General features: G+C 40.6%; 2 protein-coding genes across 5 annotated transcripts in view; one reads left to right on the top strand and one right to left on the bottom strand.

Moving 5' to 3' along the window:
• STON1-GTF2A1L (STON1-GTF2A1L readthrough) overlaps positions 1 to 19749 on the bottom strand; it is a 246595-nt gene that overhangs the window by 29349 nt on the left and 197497 nt on the right. The window lies entirely within an intron of this gene.
• LHCGR (luteinizing hormone/choriogonadotropin receptor) overlaps positions 1 to 19749 on the top strand; it is a 68951-nt gene that overhangs the window by 8554 nt on the left and 40648 nt on the right. For 2 of the 4 annotated variants that reach the window (XM_047444292.1, NM_000233.4), the window contains exons 2-3: positions 15873 to 15944; positions 17944 to 18018. In XM_047444292.1, coding sequence (XP_047300248.1) covers positions 15873 to 15944; positions 17944 to 18018 — 147 coding nt within the window. The remainder of the gene's footprint in view (positions 1 to 15872; positions 15945 to 17943; positions 18019 to 19749) is intronic. The other 2 variants (XM_047444293.1, XM_047444291.1) reach the window with 1 other exon arrangement.

The raw sequence follows: 19749 nt of genomic DNA, 5'->3' as shown, positions 1-19749 counted from the left end.
TTGCAGTGAACCGAGATCGCACCACTGCCCTCCAGCCTCTGCAACAGAGCGAGACTGCCTCATAAAAAGAAAAAAAAAAGTAAAAGAAAAAATAATAATAAATAAAAGTATGTAGTATATCAGTTGCAACCAACTTTTACACAGTTACTTTAAAAAAAGTTTTTAAGTGTTGGGAAAGAGGCGCTTTTAATGAAAGAGCTTCCTGAAGCATATCTGCAATGTCACTGCCTTGGCAACATAATATTCTCAGCTTCTGAAAAATATTTTCAAGAAATCATTACAGGTGAGGCAGACATTCCCCAGGGAGAACCCAACATGTAGTTTTATTTACCAGAGTTATTCTTGTCATGTTATATTATTGCTAGACAAATTCTAGTTTAAGGAGATAGAGATTGGGTTATTTTGCTTTGTTTCTTTAGAAAATGTTAAATGGGTTTTGAGTAAGGGCTTAGATATACTTACCATTTTCCTCTGAGGCTTTATATTTTTAATTTACTTGTTGCACAAATGACATGAAAAATCCATTATCCAGGAATCTTCTTAACATCTTGGTTCACATGATAAGACATAAACTCCTCACACCATCTTGGGTGCTGCGGAATGGCTGTCTTAGAGGAGAGTCACTCAAATTGCATTTTCCAATGGGAAAGTTTCAACTGACTGATCATTAAAACAATCAATGCTCAAATGCAAAATCTGCAGAGTGGCTCTCTAGAGTTGAAATATTTAATTGAAGGTTGTTCTTTATCACTTCTTAAAAAGGCTATCAGAAGAGTCCTAAAAGAGATATCTGAGCCCAAAAGAAAGATACCAATTGAGAGTATTTATTCTCCCTCTCAGTTGTCCTAATCAGAGGAAAGTCAAGATTTAGGAATAAGCCATAGGCATGCTATAGACTTAAAAGTGACTGACCCATGACAAACAGAAGAATCAATTCCTAAGTATGGAACCTATCCACCCCTACCCCCTGCCAAGGAAATAGAGATGTCATAAAATGTAGCCTAGGTGGCCTAAATCTTTCACAGTAAGCAGCTGTGAATTATTAATAAAAATACTTATTGAGTCTTCATATTGTACTGCATGCTATATTAGTATTATGTAAACATAGATTTTTTAGATTATACACACTTTATAGATGTGAAATGAAATTTTGATTTGAACCCAGGCTGGCTCCAGAGTGTGCGCTCTTAACTACCACACTATGGGACTTCAAGAGAGAAAGCAAGTGCCACTGGTGATGAAAACCCTTTCCATAGAGTATGTAGTACCTGAGACGGACCTTTTTTTTTTCTTTTAATTTTTAATTTTTTATTTATTTATTATTATTATACTTTAAGTTTTAGGGTACATGTGCACAACATGCAGGTTAGTTACATATGTATACATGTGCCATGCTGGTGCGCTGCACCCACTAACTCGTCATCTAGCATTAGGTATATCTCCCAACGCTATCCCTCCCCCCTCCCCCCACCCCACAACAGTCCCCAGAGTGTGATGTTCCCCTTCCTGTGTCCATGTGTTCTCACTGTTCAATTCCCACCTATGAGTGAGAATATGCGGTGTTTGGTTTTTTGTTCTTGCGATAGTTTACTGAGAATGATGATTTCCAATTTCATCCATGTCCCTACAAAGGACGTGAACTCATTATTTTTTATGGCTGTATGGTATTCCATGTTGTATATATGCCACATTTTCTTAATCCAGTCTATCATTGTTGGACATTTGGCTTGGTTCCAAGTCTTTGCTATTGTGAATAATGCCACAATAAACATATGTGTGCATGTGTCTTTATAGCGGCATGATTTATAGTCCTTTGGGTATATACCCAGTAATGGGATGGCTAGGTCAAATGGTATTTCTAATTCTAGATCCCTGAGGAATCGCCACACTGACTTCCACAATGGTTGAACTAGTTTACAGTCCCACCAACAGTGTAAAAGTGTTCCTATTTCTCCACATCCTCTCCAGCATCTGTCGTTTCCTGACTTTTTAATGATCGCCATTCTAACTGGTGTGAGATGGTATCTCATTGTGGTTTTGATTTGCATTTCTCTGATGGCCAGTGATGGTGAGCACTTTTTCATGTGTTTTTTGGCTGCATAAATGTCTTCTTTTGAGAAGTGTCTGTTCATGTCCTTCGCCCACTTTTTGATGGGGTTGTTTGTTTTTTTCTTGTAAATTTGTTTGAGTTCATTGTAGATTGTGGATATTAGCCCTTTGTCAGATGAGTAGGTTGTGAAAATTTTCTCCCATTTTGTAGGTTGCCTGTTCCCTCTGATGGTAGTTTCTTTTGCTGTGCAGAAGCTCTTTAGTTTAATTGGATCCCATTTGTCAATTTTGGCTTTTGTTGCCATTGCTTTTGGTGTTTTAGACATGAAGTCCTTGCCCATGCCTATGTCCTGAATGGTAATGCCTGGGTTTTCTTCTAGGGTTTTTATGGTTTTAGGTCTAACGTTTAAGTCTTTAATCCATCTTGAATTGATTTTTGTATAAGGTGTAAGGAAGGGATCCAGTTTCAGCTTTCTACATATGGCTAGCCAGTTTTCCCAGCACCATTTATTAAATAGGGAATCCTTTCCCCATTTCTTGTTTTTGTCAGGTTTGTCAAAGATCAGATAGTTGTAGATATGCGGTGTTATTTCTGAGGGCTCAGTTCTGTTCCATTGATCTATATCTCTGTTTTGGTACCAGTACCATGCTGTTTTGGTTACTGTAGCCTTGTAGTATAGTTTGAAGTCAGGTAGTGTGATGCCTCCAGCTTTGTTCTTTTGGCTTAGGATTGACTTGGCGATGCAGGCTCTTTTTTGGTTCCATATGAACTTTAAAGTAGTTTTTTCCAATTCTGTGAAGAAAGTCATTGGTAGCTTGATGGGGATGGCATTGAATCTGTAAATTACCTTGGGCAGTATGGCCATTTTCACGATATTGATTCTTCCTACCCATGAGCATGGAATGTTCTTCCATTTGTTTGTATCCTCTTTTATTTCCTTGAGCAGTGGTTTGTAGTTCTCCTTGAAGAGGTCCTTCACATCCCTTGTAAGTTGGATTCCTAGGTATTTTATTCTCTTTGAAGCAATTGTGAATGGGAGTTCACTCATGATTTGGCTCTCTGTTTGTCTGTTGTTGGTGTATAAGAATGCTTGTGATTTTTGTACGTTGATTTTGTATCCTGAGACTTTGCTGAAGTTGCTTATCAGCTTAAGGAGATTTTGGCCTGAGACAATGGGGTTTTCTAGATATACAATCACGTCGTCTGCAAACAGGGACAATTTGACTTCCTCTTTTCCTAATTGAATACCCTTTATTTCCTTCTCCTGCCTAATTGCCCTGGCCAGAACTTCCACCACTATGTTGAATAGGAGTGGTGAGAGAGGGCATCCCTGTCTTGTGCCAGTATTCAAAGGGAATGCTTCCAGTTTTTGCCCATTCAGTATGATATTGGCTGTGGGTTTGTCATAGATAGCTCTTATTATTTTGAGATACGTCCCATCAATACCTAATTTATTGAGAGTTTTTAGCATGAAGGGTTGTTGAATTTTGTCAAAGTCCTTTTCTGCATCTATTGAGATAATCATGTGGTTTTTGTCTTTGGTTCTGTTTATATGCTGGATTACATTTATTGATTTGCATGTGTTGAACCAGCCTTGCATCCCAGGGATGAAGCCCACTTGATCATGGTGGATAAGCTTTTTGATGTGCTGCTGGATTCGGTTTGCCAGCATTTTATTGAGGATTTTTGTATCAATGTTCATCAAGGATATTGGTCTAAAATTCTCTCTTTTGGTTGTGTCTCTGCCCAGCTTTGGTATCAGGATGATGCTGGCCTCATAAAATGAGTTAGGGAGGATTCCCTCTTTTTCTATTGATTGGAATAGTTTCAGAAGGAATGGTACCAGTTCCTCCTTGTACCTCTGGTAGAATTCGGCTGTGAATCCATCTGGTCCTGGACTCTTTTTGGTTGGTAAGCTATTGATTATTGCCACAATTTCAGATCCTGTTATTGGTCTATTCAGAGATTCAGCTTCTTCCTGGTTTAGTCTTGGAAAAGTGTATGTGTCAAGGAATTTATCCATTTCTTCTAGATTTTCTAGTTTATTTGCATAGAGGTGTTTGTAGTATTCTCTGATGGTAGTTTGTATTTCTGTGGGATCGGTGGTGATATCCCCTTTATCATTTTTTATTGCATCTATTGGATTCTTCTCTCTTTTTTTCTTTATTAGTCTTGCTAGCAGTTTATCAATTTTGTTGATCCTTTCAAAAAACCAGCTCCTGGATTCATTAATTTTTTGAAGGGTTTTTTGTGTCTCTATGTCCTTCAGTTCTGCTCTGATTTTAGTTATTTCTTGCCTTCTGCTAGCTTTTGAATGTGTTTGCTCTTGCTTTTCTAGTTCTTTTAATTGTGATGTTAGGGTGTCAATTTTGGATCTTTCCTGCTGTCTCTTGTGGGCATTTAGTGCTAAAAATTTCCCTCTACACACTGCTTTGAATGCGTCCCAGAGATTCTGGTATGTTGTGTCTTTGTTCTCGTTGGTTTCAAAGAACATCTTTATTTCTGCCTTCATTTTGTTATGTACCCAGTAGTCATTCAGGAGCAGGTTGTTCAGTTTCCATGTAGTTGAGCGGTTTTGAGTGAGATTCTTAATCCTGAGTTCTAGTTTGATTGCACTGCGGTCTGAGAGATAGTTTGTTATAATTTCTGTTCTTTTACATTTGCTGAGGAGAGCTTTACTTCCAAGTATGTGGTCAATTTTGGAATAGGTGTGGTGTGGTGCTGAAAAAAATGTATATTCTGTTGATTTGGGGTGGAGAGTTCTGTAGATGTCTATTAGGTCCGCTTGGTGCAGAGCTGAGTTCAATTCCTGGGCATCCTTGCTGACTTTCTGTCTCATTGATCTGTCTAATGTTGACAGTGGGGTGTTAAAGTCTCCCATTATTAATGTGTGGGAGTCTAAGTCTCTTTGTAGGTCACTCAGGACTTGCTTTATGAATCTGGGTGCTCCTGTATTGGGTCCATATATATTTAGGATAGTTAGCTCTTCTTGTTGAATTGATCCCTTTACCATTATGTAATGGCCTTTTTTGTCTCTTTTGATCTTTGTTGGTTTAAAGTCTGTTTTATCAGAGACTAGGATGGCAACCCCTGCCTTTTTTTGTTTTCCATTGGCTTGGTAGATCTTCCTCCATCCATTTATTTTGAACCTATGTGTGTCTCTGCACGTGACATGGGTTTCCTGAATACAGCACACTGATGGGTCTTGACTCTTTATCCAATTTGCCAGTCTGTGTCTTTTAATTGGAGCATTTAGTCCATTTACATTTAAAGTTAATATTGTTATGTGTGAATTTGATCCTGTCATTATGATGTTAGCTGGTTATTTTGCTCCTCAGTTGATGCAGTTTCTTCCTAGTCTCGATGGTCTTTACATTTTGGCATGATTTTGCAGCGGCTGGTACCGGTTGTTCCTTTCCATGTTTAGCGCTTCCTTCAGGAGCTCTTTTAGGGCAGGCCTGGTGGTGACAAAATCTCTCAGCATTTGCTTGTCTGTAAAGTATTTTATTTCTCCTTCACTTAAGAAGCTTAGTTTGGCTGGATATGAAATTCTGGGTTGAAAATTCTTTTCTTTAAGAATGTGGAATATTGGCCCCCACTCTCTTCTGGCTTGTAGAGTTTCTGCCGAGAGATCTGCTGTTAGTCTGATGGGCTTCCCTTTGAGGGTAACCTGACCTTTCTCTCTGGCTGTCCTTAACATTTTTTCTTTCATTTCAACTTTGGTGAATCTGACAATTATGTGTCTTGGAGTTGCTCTTCTCGAGGAGTATCTTTGTGGCATTCTCTGTATTTCCTGAATCTGAATGTTGGCCTGCCTTGCTCGACTGGGGAAGTTCTCCTGGATAATAACCTGCAGAGTGTTTTCCAACTTGGTTCCATTCTCCCCGTCACTTTCAGGTACACCAATCAGACGTAGATTTGGTCTTTTCACATAGTCCCATATTTCTTGGAGGCTTTGCTCGTTTCTTTTTATTCTTTTTTCTCTAAACTTCCCTTCTCACTTCATTTCATTCATTTCATCTTCCATCGCTGATACCCTTTCTTCCAGTTGATCGCATCAGCTCCTGAGGCTTCTGCATTCTTCATGTAGTTCTCGAGCCTTGGTTTTCAGCTCCATCAGCTCTTTTAAGCACTTCTCTGTATCGGTTATTCTAGTTATACATTCTTCTAAATTTTTTTCAAAGTTTTCAACTTCTTTGCCTTTGGTTTGAATGTCCTCCCGTAGCTCGGAGTAATTTGATTGTCTGAAGCCTTCTTCTCTCAGCTCGTCAAAGTCATTCTCTGTCAGCTTTGTTCCGTTGCTGGTGAGAAACTGCGTTCCTTTGGAGGAGGAGAGGCACTCTGCTTTTTTGAGTTTCCAGTTTTTCTGCTCTGTTTTTTCCCCATCTTTGTGGTTTTATCTACTTTTGGTCTTTGATGATGGTGATGTACAGATGGGTTTTTGGTGTGGATGTCCTTTCTGTTTGTTAGTTTTCCTTCTAACAGACAGGACCCTCAGCTGCAGGTCTGTTGGAGTACCCGGCCATGTGAGGTGTCAGTCTGCCCCTACTGGGGGGTGCCTCCCAGTTAGGCTGCTCAGGGGTCAGGGGTCAGGGACCCACTTGAGGAGGCAGTCTGCCTGTTCTCAGATCTCCAGCTGCGTGCTGTGAGAACCACTGCTCTCTTCAAAGCTGTCAGACAGGGACATTTAAGTCTGCAGAGGTTACTGCTGTCTTTTTGTTTGTCTGTGCCCTGCCCCCAGAGGTGGAGCCTACAGAGGCAGGCAGGCCTTCTTGAGCTGTGGTGGGCTCCACCCAGTTCGAGCTTCCTGGCTGCTTTGTTTACCTAAGCAAGCCTGGGCAATGGCAGGCGCCCCTCCCCCAGCCTCGCTGCCACCTTGCAGTTTGATCTCAGACTGCTGTGCTAGCAACAAGTGAGACTCCATGGGCGTAAGACCCTCCGAGCCAGGTGCGGGATATAATCTCCTCGTGCACCGTTTTTTAAGCCCATTGGAAAAGAGCAGTATTCGGGTGGGAGTGACCCGATTTTCCAGGTGCCATCTGTCACCCCTTTCTTTGACTAGGAAAGGGAACTCCCTGACCCCTCGCGCTTCCCGAGTGAGGTGATGCCTCGCCCTGCTTCAGCTCGCGCATGGTGCACGCACCCACTGACCTGCGCCCACTGTCTGGCACTCCCTAGTGAGATGAACCTGGTACCTCAGATGGAAATGCAGAAATCACCCATCTTCTGCGTTGCTCACGCTGGGAGCTGTAGACTGGAGCTGTTCCTATTCGGCCATCTTTCTCAAATTGTCGGACCTTTTTTTTTAATTATACTTTAAGTTTTAGGGTACATGTACACAACATGCAGGTTTGTTACATATGTATACATGTGCCATGTTGGTGTGCTGTGCCCATTAACTCGTCATTTAACATTAGGTATATCTCCTAATGCTATCCCTCCCCACTCCCCCCACCCCACAACAGGCCCCAGTGTGTGATGTTCCCCTTCCTGTGTCCATGTGTTCTCATTGTTCAATTCCCACCTATGAGCGAGAACATGCAGTGTTTGGTTTTTTGTCCTTGTGATAGTTTGCTGAGAATGATGCTTTCCAGCTTTATCCATGTCCCTACAAAGGACATGAACTCATCATTTTTTATGGCTGCATAGTATTCCATGGTGTATATGTGCCACATTTTCTTAATCCAGTCTATCATTGTTGGACATTTGGCTTGGTTCCAAGTCTTTGCTATTGTGAATAGTGCCGCAATAAATACACGTGTGCATGTGTCTTTATAGCAGCATGTTTTATAATCCTTTGGGTATATACCCAGTAATGGGATGGCTGGCTCAAATGGTATTTCTAGTTCTAGATCCCTGAGGAATCGCCACACTGACTTCCACAATGGTTGAACTAGTTCACAGTCCCACCAACAGTGTAAAAGTGTTCCTATTTCTCCACATCCTCTCCAGCATCTGTTGTTTCCTGACTTTTTAATGATCGCCATTCTAACTGGTATGAGATGGTATCTCATTGTGGTTTTGATTTGCATTCTGAGATGGACCTTTAATCCAGGGTAGAATTTGACCAGCAGAGAAGGGAGATGTGCCAAACAGTAGGAACCATGAATGACATCAGGAAAGTGTGAGTCAAGTTCAGGAAGTACAAATAGTTTGATTTGCCTAGGGAGGTGCTGTTCAGTAGAAACATAATGTGAGTCACACGAGTAATTTTCAATTTTCTAGTGCCCACATTTAAAAAGTTTTCAAAATGTGAAATTAACTTGAATAAAACATTTAATTTAGTCTAGTATGTATAAAATATTCTCATTTCAATATGTTATCAATACAAAAATTACTGAGATATTTTACATTCTTTTTTCTTACCAAGTCTTCAAAACCTGGTATGCATTTTATACTTACAGCTCATCTCAATTCAGACTGGCCTATATTTCAACTGCCCAGTGGCCACATATGGCTAATGGCTGCCATATGAGACGGTGCAAGTCTAGTGTATTGGTTACATGAGGGCAAGAGTGGGTGATACAACTGGTGAATAAAGATTGAGCCTTGAATGCCAGGCTGAGACATTTGTAGATAGGTTGGCTGAGGGGGTGGCAAAGAAGCTGCTTGACATGAGAATGACATAGCAGGAGTTGTCAGGAAGAGTAATCTAGATTGGTCAGGGGAAAGCAACGATGGAGTGACAGGAAACCAATTAGGGGACTCTAGAATAGTCCAGGTGGAGAAAAGAATGGCCAAGAGTAGCAGTGTGTAAGGAGTAAAGGGGCTGGAAGCAAGAGACAATGTGGAAAGCAGAATCTACCAGAGACTGGGTGTTCGATGGGAGAACAGAGGAAATGTTCACGCATGGCATCTGGTAAATTCTCAAATAATACTGAAGGGAAAAAAAATAGTGTAGTAATTAAGTGTAGAGGAGGATAGAGGAAGAGAAAAAACATTCTGGTAGGCTCCAAAGCTTCATGGAGAAGCAGGGATTTGAGCTGCATTTTGAAACTGAGCTATGTCCTCAAGAAGCTGATGGCTCTTTTCAGGAGGCTAAGTTTTCACACACAAAAAGCAGAGGATCATGTAGTAGAGTGTATCGACAAACATCCAAATGAACAGTACTGATGTGACTTGATTGTTGGAGGACAACAGCACCAAGCCAGGAAGGAAGAAACCAATGCTTTAGTCCAGATCTGCCTCTGAATTGCCATGTGGTTTCAAAAAAGTCATTTCTCTTTTCCTAAGATTCTTTCTCTGTAAAGTGAGGGGTTGGACCAAATGACTTGTAAGCAACCCTTTCACTCTGACTCCTTGAGCCTAGTACAGTAACTGCAGGGAGCAATCAACAATAATCAAAACCACCTGGATGTATTTTTAAAGACTGTTCCAAAGTTTTCTGGTGTAAAGCGTAACATATTGGATGTTCATCTATACTGACTTCATATTTCAGTTAACACTGAAGCCTCAGCTCCCTCTAGGTAAATGCTGAAGACAATAGGCCAATAAGTGAAGACATTCCCTGTAATGAAGCCACCAAATAGTCCGATGCCTTTGACAGCTCAAAGATTTAAAATCATTTCAAAAGAGGAAAGCTATTTTTATTTTATTCTAAGATGAAAGCAAGTTTATTATCATTGTGAGCAGCTTTGAAAAGAACACAGAACTTCTTAAGACACTGTTAAGTGTAGAACAAGATCTTAATAAATACAAAAACACCAAATTCTTTTGAATTTAAATAATTAAATAAACCTCTTCCCATTTCAACAAGTTCATTAGGCAAAAAAGCTTTAACTCTCTGATTTCTCTCTTTTTTCCCTTCATCTGATTTTGTAGTGTTTTAGAATTCAGGATATAGCTCTAGCAATAAACTCATTATCTGTGGAAAATGAATGGATGTTTGTAGCTTTCTTAAATCAATAATATAGTTGGCATTTTTAACAACAATTAGAAGGTAGTGAATAAAAACACTTCACTTCTGCCATGTGTTGGGCAGAAGGAAAAGTAAAAGCTCTGGCAAGTGACCAAAGAGCCTATACAGTCTTTGGAGACTCCAGATTGGTGCTGCATTTCTTCCCTGGCTCTTCTCTCCCTCTGCACCTCCTCAGCCTGAGGGCATCAGAAGGCTTCCCTGCCCTGGGAAACATCTTGTATTCAAGCTCTGAAAAACCAAGGGGAGGTGAGAAACCTACAGTTATAATTTGCTTTATGCAATACCTGTCCTTAAAAAGAGAGAGTGTGTCAATTGAACTCTATTTTCCATTCACCCAGGGAGTTTGCTATTTAAAGCAACCCTGCAGTAAATCCATCTATAGAACAAAGAAATATTTGATAGTGCATATGTCTCCCAATTGATAGGTTTTTATAAGCAAGGATTTCCAGATTTTTTTAAAATTTTTAATATATATAACATACAAAACAAATCTTCTATTTTCTTAAAGGGGGACACTAGAGCCCACCTGACTGAAGCTCTCCAGGTAACATTACTTTGAGGATTAGTTAACAAAAATTAAACTGGACAAATTGGCTCCTTCCAAGGCCATCTGTGTCATTAAACTCAAAAGAAAAAAGAAGAGGGGCCCAAGCCCCAATCCTGGGTACCCAGGAGACATTAGAAACCACCAGGGAGGACATGATAAGGTGGCGTTATCTTCTTTAAGGTAATTAGATTTATCTGGATGCTGTAAATTTTCCTGTCACTGGACTCTGACACAGCTGCACTGAGTGCTTGGCAATTGGATTTGGCTGGGAAGGGGATCAAGTCAGGGCCCAGGTAAGAATTGATAGGAAGAAGGTCTAAAGATAGGATGGTCCTTCTGAGTAGTCCCACCCGGAGGCAAGGGGGCTGGGCCTTTATTCTATACATTGTCCAGTCACTGGATGAGGGCTGCCCAAAAGAGAAGACATAATCCTGGGTGAGGTAGCAATCTTGGTCTGTGTATTGGTCCATTCTCACACTGCTATAAAGAAATACCCAAGACTGGGTAATTTACAAAGAAAAGAGGTTTAGTTGGCTCACAGTTCTGCAGGCTGTACAGGAAGCATGGCTAGGGAGGCCTCAGGAAACTTACAATCATGGCAGAAGGCAAAAGGGAAGCAAGCACATTTTCATGTAGCCAGAGCAGGAGGAAGAGAGAGAGGAGAGGTGCTACACACTTTTAAACAACCAGATCTCATGATAACTCACTCACTCTCATAAGAGCAGCAGCAAAGGGGAAATCTGCCCCCTTGATCCAATCACCTCCAACCAAGCCCCACCTCCAACACTGGGAATTACAATTTGACACGAGATTTGGGTGGACACAGACCCAAACCACATCAGTCTATAAGCATAATTCTAGGAGAGCAACTCAGCTGAGAGCTTCAGCCACCCACTCTTTCCTAGCAGTTGGCGAAATTGGTGCGTCAGTACTAAAGAGTGACTTGGGTAGCCCACCACAGTATCCACTACAGAAAGTAACCCAACTCCACTGGGTAGTCCTAACACAGGGTCACCGTCTGTGCCAAGGGGCCCAGTTTGAAAGTCAGAACTAAGCAGTAAGAGATACTAGCTTGACCCTAACCAGACAGCAACCAGGAACTGTTCTAGGGCAGCAGTGTTCCCTAAGGGGTAGAGATACAGGGATCAGGATCTGGTGATTGAGAAAAAGAGAAGGCAGGAACTAAGAGAAGCCCTACTCCTAGATGGATTCTGGGGAGACCAAGCAAGCTACAGAATAAGAAATCGAGACAAAAACAAACACCAGCATAGCATGTGGGAAGGCACTGCAGGTGCACTCCTGCCCCCAAATATTAATATTATTGGGTCCAGTTTAGACGATGCACAAGCCTCGCCAGAGTCATGACCAATCACAAGATCCCAGTACTAGGATGAATGACTTAATTCCAGCCCTAAGGAGGACAGACTGTTTCGATTTCAACTTTAACACACAACTAGAAGGGTTGGGGACCTGCAGATGAGATTAATGAGTAGATGGAAGTTCCAAGCTGATGAAGCTAACGCAGACTTTGTAATCCAATTGAAGCATTTGTTTCAACATCTGTGGCAAAGGCACTTGGGCAAGGTGCCACCTGCGTTGCCTCATCAATTTATTTAAAAACAAAAGTTCAAAACTGCAAAAAAGACTGTGAAAATATAATAAATTTAAGTAGCTGCATAGTTCTACAGCCATATTTTTCCACAGCCGTCTCACCTTTCAAGAGAGAATCTCCACCCTGCAAGTTCAACCTCATATTTTCCCAGTAACCCTAATTCTTTACCACCCATCTGAGGTGCATAGTTGTGGTGTATCACCCTCTTTTGCTGAGACAGAAAGGGCTCTGTCCTTCCTTTATTTTCTTTGCTTTATGCATAGCTTTCATTCCTTTTTTGACCCTGGACAGCAGAGCTGCTGAACTGTCCTTGCCTTAGGCATTTTTGCCCTCAGTTCTCCTTGGCTTCTGCTCTATATCAAATGATACCGACTAGACCTTTCCACAATAGTTCACAAAACTATTGGAATACAAGTATGCCTAACTCCAAAAAAATATGAAGGAAAGGAAAGGAAGGAGGGAAGAAGGGAGAGAGGAGGAAGGAGGAGGAAGAAAGGTAAGCAAGCAGGCTGCCAATACATCAAAATAAACCTTTTTTATTTTCCATTTGTCTCTCTAGTACAGAGGGTTAAGTTGGTCATATTTCTTCATTCAAGTAACATTATCACTAGTCCATTCAAAGTCCCTCTCTGTTTTTAGTTATTTATTTTATCTCCTTCTCCCACTTCTGTTCCTCTCAACTCACCTTAGATAACAATCCTAGTGTATGTTCATGTGCAGGAGGAGGTTAATGTCTAGTGTTTCGTTTACATATATTTTAATTCTGCAAACAGTATATTATATCTCCGTAATTTCTTGTTTCTCTCAGTTCCATGATTTGAAGATCCACCCATGCTACTCTGTGTGCCTTTAGACTCTCACTTCTACAGGCTCTCCTATTCAGTTAGGTGTGTACGGTCCAAATTTTACATACTCCCTCACCTAGTAATGGACACCCAGGTTGCCTCCAAGCCCCTGATGCCACAATGCTGTGAAGAAAACGTTTGTACAAGATTCCTTTAAGTATCAATTTGAGAATTTTTCTCAATGTATACAGGAGTGGAATTGCAGGGTTATTAAGATCATTGTTCACATTGCTAAAAGTTTCTGGCATCATGGAAAGAATCATAGATGCATCCAATAGAGAGTGGGACACCTTCAAAGGGAGTACATTCAAACAGTTATCAACAAATCATAAACTTTATTAATAAATTCTGGAGACAGATACTTGAATGCTTAGGAACTGCTACCCATCAAAGACGAATCAGAAATGAAGATGTGACATTTCTGAAAAAAAAAACATATAAGTCTGTAGGGAAAATGGTTTTCGATTCACAGGACCACATTCTCTGTGTTGCCTCATGGGAACACATCTGTTGTGAAAAGCACAGTGCACCTGCCTAACCCCACCTCTCTCCCCATTCCCTGGCCCCCAGGACTCTTTCTTGACCCAGCCATATCCACAAAGTCACCTGCTGTTCACTTGGTGTCTCTTTTATAGGGGAGGCTCTAGTTTCACTCTCCCCACTGCTGCCTTTCCTGCTCTGCAGCATCAACATCAACGCTGCAAAATTTCAGCTTGCACCAGGGCTGCTTCTGTAGCCACTGGAGACTGCCATTGCATGATCTACAGCTTCTTGCACTTCTGTCCGACCTTTGCTCCTCATCCCTCCTCCCTACATCAATCAAAAGCTCAGGCAACCTCCCTGATCAAATCTGAACCAAACTGCTCCTCTGGGAGTCACACCATGCTCCCATTTGGAGGAGGAGGCTGCCTGCTGAGAGACTTCAGCTTCTGGGCTCCATTTGCATGAATAAACAGCTCTGAAGTGTTCTGCTGAAGCTTTTATGTAAACACTCTCCAAAATATGTTCTGCACTGCATTATCCCCAGCAATAAAGATTCTGGAATCAGAATTTGGCTGTCAGTTTTATTGATGCTGCAAGGGGTACAGTGGAATACAGCTTTCTCTTCTGTAAATTTATTGGTTTGGCAGTGCAGAGAGCAATAAAACTGTGTTTTTAATCAGGAAGCCAAGCGAACATGATTCCAGAAGAAATATAGGAAGCAAATATGCCATCACAAGAAGATTTCTTCCCACACTGTCCCTGTTCTTCTCGGATCCTTTGTTAAATGAGTTTAGGTGTTAAACGATGTCCTTCTTGGGAATGCCTTCGGGAATAGAATCAGAGACCAAAGTTGGATTACTTTCTCTAGGTTATATCATTTCTAAGAGATTATTGAGTGAAAATATTTTTCTGAAATGAAATTTCCTCCCTATTAGCACCTAGGGAGGAACGGCTGGTAAACCGCTTTGCAGAAGAAATAGAGCGAATGTGACATGCTTCCTCTCAGGAGAAGCAAGGTTGCAATGTCTGTCCCTCCACCTTGCTCACCAAGACATGGGATTAAGAGTGACATGCTTTGGCCAGTATTGCACAGGGAAAGGATGTCTGGAGTCATTCTGCCTCGTTGTAACCTTGTTCAGGTTACTTAGTCTCTTTGTGACCCAATTTCTTCTGCTATGTAAGAGAAATTCCCACCTCACACCATTGTTGAGTGAGTAAAAGAAGGTCACAAATGGGTGTGTATAACTCACATAGTAGCTTACAACTGTAGCAAGTCCCTTCTGGGACTGTAAGAAATCTTACTTTCATCTGCCCATCATGGAGGTGTTCTTTCCTAGAAGCTTAAAGCAGTCTCTGCTGCATAGACATGTTAAAAACAAGACAGCATCTTTCACCTTTGTTCTCATATTCCTGATACTCACATACTCACTTCCCACCTGAAATATCCTTGCCCACTCCCTTCCTCTCTGCCAGTCCTTGGGCCAAAACATTAAACCATTGTAGATACTCAATAAATGTTGGCTGCATGTTCGTCCCTGCCTTGCAGTTGCTTTCTCCTGAGTTATCTTAACCTCCAGTTCCTTTAGCATTCACACATCATCCTATACTGGTTTTGCATTTCTGAGTGTCACTCTTTTCTCAAATCTTAAGTACAGCATAGATTTTATTTCAATTTCAAGAATATTTAGATTTTTCCTGTGGGTATAAGTGAATGCCTGAAGGAAATGATCTCATAGACATTCCCCGCAAATGACATGAGATGCCCATGTGAGTTAACCATAGGATCAAAGTTGTCTCTTTGGAATAATATTGAAATAGGCTACCTGGGAAAGACAGTAGAGATCAAGATGGGAGCATGTTCTTAATGAATCTTCTGTTTTCCTGCCTGCATGATTTCCAGTTGTATTTTCATCATTAATGTCTCCACTCTACTCAACATAGTTTTTGTCCATCTTCCCAATCAAGTCTATAGGATCACTCTACAACTATTTAACTATATACTTGGTGCCAAGCCCTGTTCTTTACATGGATTATCCTGATTAATTATCACAATGACCCTGTGAAGTAGGAATTATTATTGCAATTTTACAGACAAAGAAACTGAGCTGGAGGGCTTAAATAACATGCTTAGAATCACATAGCCAAGTAGTGGGACAGCGAAGATTTGCGTCCAGGTATGCCTAATCTCAACGTTCACAGTCTTAACCGCAAAATTATACACTCTTTGATAAAGACCAAGAATAAGTCATGGCACATCTCTTCATTGATTTAAGTTAGAATCCTCAGCCTGAATCCAGTTCTTGGGAACTCTGAAGTCTCTGTCTCTCACACACATACACATACCCATTTTATTCATGAACTTAAAAGGCACCCTATCATAAATCTTAAACTCTTGGATTTCCTTTTTTCTTTTCTAGATCACTTGCCTACCTCCCTGTCAAAGTGATCCCATCTCAAGCTTTCAGAGGACTTAATGAGGTCATAAAAATGTAAGTAAGTTACTGCATATCAAAAGACATTCGTAATTGGAATAATGAATTTTTTCTAAGAGAAAACACATTTGAAAGGGGATAATTTTTCTAGGAAAGAAATTGTGTTTAGGATACTCACATATTTTTATCTTTGTAATACAAATAATAACTAGAGACCTTTGAAGAAAAGGTATGATTTTTAAGAGTCATTAAAATACAGATAATTAACCTTGCTTCAAATGACTGAATGCATTTTATAAGTGATGATATACCTTTTAAGGAGAAAAAAAGATAGATTCCAATCATAAAAATTCTCCTTCTGCTAGAGCAGCTATTCCCTTGTGTCACATTTTTAGATAACACCCACATAGGAAAAAAAATGTGTTGGAAATTTATTGTGCATCAGAAGATAATCTTTATATCTAAAATATAAGTATATGACAAAAACACAGTATTTATAACTATATTGATGAAAGGCATTTATCAAAAGTGTAAAGCACCTGGATAATGCAGTATGATCTCATGTTTGTCAGACATAACTTCGATCATTTGTTTCTGGGTTTCAGCTTCTAGGACCAAAGTTCCCATACTTGGAGAGAGAATGTTCTCAAGGGCCCAGTATTCCAGCATCTTTCTTAATATTAGCCTGAGTCAAAGGACCTCATGGCCATTGAGTTCTCACAGTGCATCTCCAATCTTAACAATCCACTGGACTTTGGAAGCAGATTTGCATCTCTAAAGAAGATGCTACAGCATTGATCTTAGCTCCTTTGGGAACCTCTATTGCCCTTTAGGGTATTAGTAAGCAATTAGAATATTTAAAATAATTCCTCAAGAATTACTGCATATTATAGGAAATTCCCTGCAGGTTACGGACTTGTCGGTTTACTTGAGCTTAACCCACACTCTTCTGCTCTCAAGTTGGAATGTTGAGTTTTGATAACCTTTAATGCATTAAGACCTCCTACTGAGAAAAGGAGCTACAGTTAAATAAGCAAACCAATAGGTAGGAATAAGATGAATCAGCCAAGAATAATCCATTCCTGTGTTGTTAAGAAAAGACATTAGCTACCTTAGGCTCTGCCTTTCTGTGGGCTAATGCTCTCATCAGTCTGAAGCCTTCAGTGAGCCTTAACCTTAGAAATAAGCAAATGTACAGTTTGTGAATTTGAGACTTTTTTTTCAACTGGCAGGAAATGGTAGCGTATGTTGGGATTTTAGGGTAACATTGGCATGACTTACATGCTTGCGAATCATATATGACAAAACTGGTTTCTTTATTTTTGTATTGTTTTCAAAAAATTCAATTATTCACTACTGCATTCACTTATTCATTCATTTTGTACTCTTAACGCTGTGCCAAGCAACATGAAGCCACCAAGGATTCAGAAGTGAATAGAATATACTCTTTGTCCTCAGTTTGCTCACAAGTGAGAAAAACAGTCAAGGAAGTAGGTAATTGTAATTCAGGATGGATACCATGTGCAGGAGTTGACCACCTTGCAACGGCCTCAGCACGAGATTTTGGGAAACTAAGGGTTAAGAGTTATGAAACAATTCAATCCATATTAAAGCCTCACTAGAGTGACAGAATTGGGACCCAGAGATCCATATCCTAGTCTTGAACCTTAATACAAATACTATTTGCCTCTCCTCTCAGGGCCTTAATTTCCAGAGCTGTAAAACAAGGGAATCTGACTAGATTTTCTCAAAGGGCCTATGCAATTCTAACAATCTGTGGCTCTGAGTCAGAGATAAATAAGAGAAAAACTTGTCACATAAACAGGGGCTACTAAAACTTGCATTTCAACTGCACTTGGGTTGTAGGTGCCCATCAGTGCTCCTAAAGGGAGATGTTAGCACTGTATGATTTGGGGACAACTTGCACATCTTTGTTCTTTTCAGGGGGACACAGTGGTGTCCCCAGTTGTTGGGTCACACACATAGCTCATAATCATGCAGACACGGTCATTTCTTTCATGTTTCTTTCTCTTTTTCCCCCTCCTCTCTTCCCTAGTGAAATCTCTCAGATTGATTCCCTGGAAAGGATAGAAGCTAATGCCTTTGACAACCTCCTCAATTTGTCTGAAATGTAAGCATCAGCTAACAGACAGTTTACTGCTGTACACTATTACCCTCACTGGCTGGAGCCCACTTGGTATTTGTATTCAAGCATCCACTGCTAGGAATCCAAAAGGAAAAGACTACAGCAATTACTAGGTCTGGGCAGGCACTAATTTTTCTCACTGCAGTGGCCTGTAGGTTGCTATGGTGACAACTGCTTCTCCCTGGGAGCTGTATAAACTCTGAAACATCACAACACAAAGATAGAAATTAAAATTGACATTATGAACTCCTGCCAAGTAGCTCTTGCCTATGGAGGGTATGGAGTACTTGGGATAGTGGGAAAATTTGGAAAAGAGCTTAGAGATCATAAATTGGTTCATTGGGGGCTGTTTTGGCACATTCACTCATTCAGTGAATGTTTCTTGAATACCTACAGTGTAAAAGCTGTGTGATAGGCATGTGTGTGTTGGGTTTGTTGGGTTTTGTTGTTGTTATTGTGATGTTTTGGAATTAACTCTTAGAAACAACCCTTGCCAAAGTATCATTTCCCCAAAAAATCACAAAAAGGATAGGAAAAGACTGGTTCAATTCAGTTTTCAAGTGATGAATCTGTGGCCTGAAGAGGTTAACCTATTTGCCTGACATCACACCGCAAGTTAGTGCCAGAGCTGAAATTAGAAATCAATGCATGTGACTTCTACACCAGGCCCCCTACTGCTGCTTTTACTCAGGCGCAAACCTGAGTTTCCAGAAGAGCACTCAAACTTTACCTACTTTGGAGTTTCAAAAGTTAGGGAAGGGGAAAAGTATTAGCATCAAACATTTTTTGAGCTCTGTGCTTGGCATTTCTTCTATGTTGTGTCATTTAATCCTCACAGCTACCATGCAGAGTGGGGGTAATTATCCCTTTCGTCCAGGGGAAGGAATGGAGGCTTGGAAAGGCACAGAAACTTGACCGATGTGACACTTCAGACCAGGGGTATCCAATCTTTTGGCTTCCCTAGGCCACACTGGAAAAAGAATTGTCTTGGGTCACACATAAAATACACTTACACTAACAATAGCTGATGAGTTTAAAAAAAAAAAAAAACTCATAATGTTTTAAGAAAGTTTACAAACTTCTATTGGGTCGCATTCAAAGCCATCCTGGGCCACATGTGGCATGCAGACTGTGGGTTGGACAAGCTTGCTTTAGACCATGGCAGGACTGGGGTTCAATCCCAGACTGTCTTTCTTCAAAGCTCCAGATTTTCCACTATACCACAGGGTCCCCCTATAAATGACCCAATGAATAATTACCTGAAGAGAATAATTAATTGGTAAGTACGTGAGCAACTACCATGTGTCCAATACAGGGCCAAATGCTGTTGGAATACAGAAGAGATAAAATATAAATGTCCACCATGAGATGACAGTGTAGCCAGGGAAGTGAGACTACTCACCAATTACAGAGAAATCCAAAATAATGAGTAAGTGCAAAAGACATAGTCTGGACTTAGCTGAGAAGCAGAATCACACATTGGGCTCATTACAATTACAGACGACAGTCCTATCCCAGACCTGGAAAGCTGCAGTTTTAACAGACTTCCCAGGTAATGCTAAAACACAGCTTATATTGAGAACCACCAGGGCAGCTAATGATAAATAAAGCTTCCCGTGATGCAAAGCAACATTCATCAACAGAAAGAAACATAAAGCACTCTCAGGGAAAGTTTATGGATTCCCAAAGAAGGTCCTAAGACTAGCATGCTAGCTC

The sequence above is a fragment of the Homo sapiens genome, chromosome 2 (genome assembly GCF_000001405.40).
Source record: "Homo sapiens chromosome 2, GRCh38.p14 Primary Assembly".
In the NCBI taxonomy this organism is placed as follows: domain Eukaryota; kingdom Metazoa; phylum Chordata; class Mammalia; order Primates; family Hominidae; genus Homo; species Homo sapiens.
This window is presented reverse-complemented; position numbering and strand designations above follow the sequence as displayed.